Source organism: Homo sapiens, chromosome 1 (genome assembly GCF_000001405.40).
Source record: "Homo sapiens chromosome 1, GRCh38.p14 Primary Assembly".
Taxonomy (NCBI): Eukaryota; Metazoa; Chordata; class Mammalia; order Primates; family Hominidae; genus Homo; species Homo sapiens.
The window spans coordinates 198,988,800-198,990,352 of record NC_000001.11 but is presented as its reverse complement, the minus strand read 5'-3'; positions in this window follow the sequence as shown (position 1 = coordinate 198,990,352).

Sequence of the window (1,553 nt, the reverse complement as noted above, 5' to 3'; positions counted from 1 at the left end):
GCCACTATGCAAGGGAAGCTTTGTTATCCCTATTTTACAGATGAGAAAATATCAAGGTTGGAGTTTTTTTTATTATTTGAACATGAAATATATTAAATAAAACACATATTTAGGAACCAAAGCCAGCTCAACTGATTTCAGAGTAATGTTTGATTCTTTTCTTCATAATGGCTGTTTAATAACTGTTTTGTTTAAGCTTGTGTGGCCAACCTCATCCATGGTGATTTTCCAAATCACCTATTTTTGTGGTTGTTGTTTAGAATCTCTTAAGTCACTCATTTATTCACTGGACATATAATTATTGATCACCTGGTGTATGCCAGCCACTGTGCTTGACCTGTTCTTCTGGCCTGAAAAATATCTTCCATATTTAAGTATCACACAAGTGATGATATGGTTTGGCTGTGTCCCCACCCAAATCTCATCTTGAATGATAGTTCCCACAATTCCCACGTGTTGTGTTGTGGGAAGGACCTGGTGGGAGGTAATTGAATCATGGGGGCAGTTTCTCCCATGCTGCTATTCTCATAATAGAGAGTGAGTTCTCATGAGATATGATGACTTTATAACGGGCTTTTCCCCCTTTTGCTTGGCATTTCTCCTCGCTGCCGCCATGTGAAGCAGGCCATGTTTTCTTCCCCTTCCACCATGATTCTAAGTTTCCTGAGGCCTCCTCAGCCATGTTGAACTCTCAGTCAATTAAACCTCTTTCCTCTATAAATTACCCAGTCTCAAGTATGTTTTTATTAACAGTGTGAGAATGGACTAATACTAGAGAATACTAAACTTAACTTTTGAGGGAGACAAATTCCTGTTCTTTCATTATTTTTTTGATATAGAGCAATAAAATATAATAGATATGAGCTCAGAACTCTGAATATTTATCACAAGATCTGAAAAGAGTACATTTTGCATTTCTAGTTGTTCAATTGTTACGCCATAAATCAAATTACATCAAATACTTTAGCCATAAAAAGGGATATATTTGTGTCTTTAAGAAGGTATATTGTTTCTTCTAATAGAATGATTCTGACAATTTTATTATGAGTGCAGTTACATAAATGAATCTTCTTTTCCTTTTTCTATTAATAAAGTGCTTTTAGAAATAAATTACTTCAATTTGTGTGTAATGGATAGGGACATTAAGCATAAGAGTGTGAACTGTTAATCATAACTGCCAGTCACTTATTTTTTACCCAGGAATTATCTCATAAATTTTGAAATTGGGTACTGGTTACTAAGTTTGTCTGTATTTCTCAATGTAAACCCATAATAAATCGATGTATTATACTAAATTAAATAATGAAAAATTCATGATTCGAAGGATCCTCTCTATCGACAATTTTATAGTGTTTAATTCCAGCTGATACTCTGCTTATCCCCAGAGTTAAATCAGGCTATGGGTCTTGTTTTAATAAAGGAAGTAAAAATATCTCTCAGTATTTTTGTGCAGACAAGGATTTAGGAAACTATCGGTTTTTATAAAAGTTCTTGCAAAACTGCAGCAAATACTGGAACAATGGGCTCTATGATGGCCTTTCTAGAATGATTGA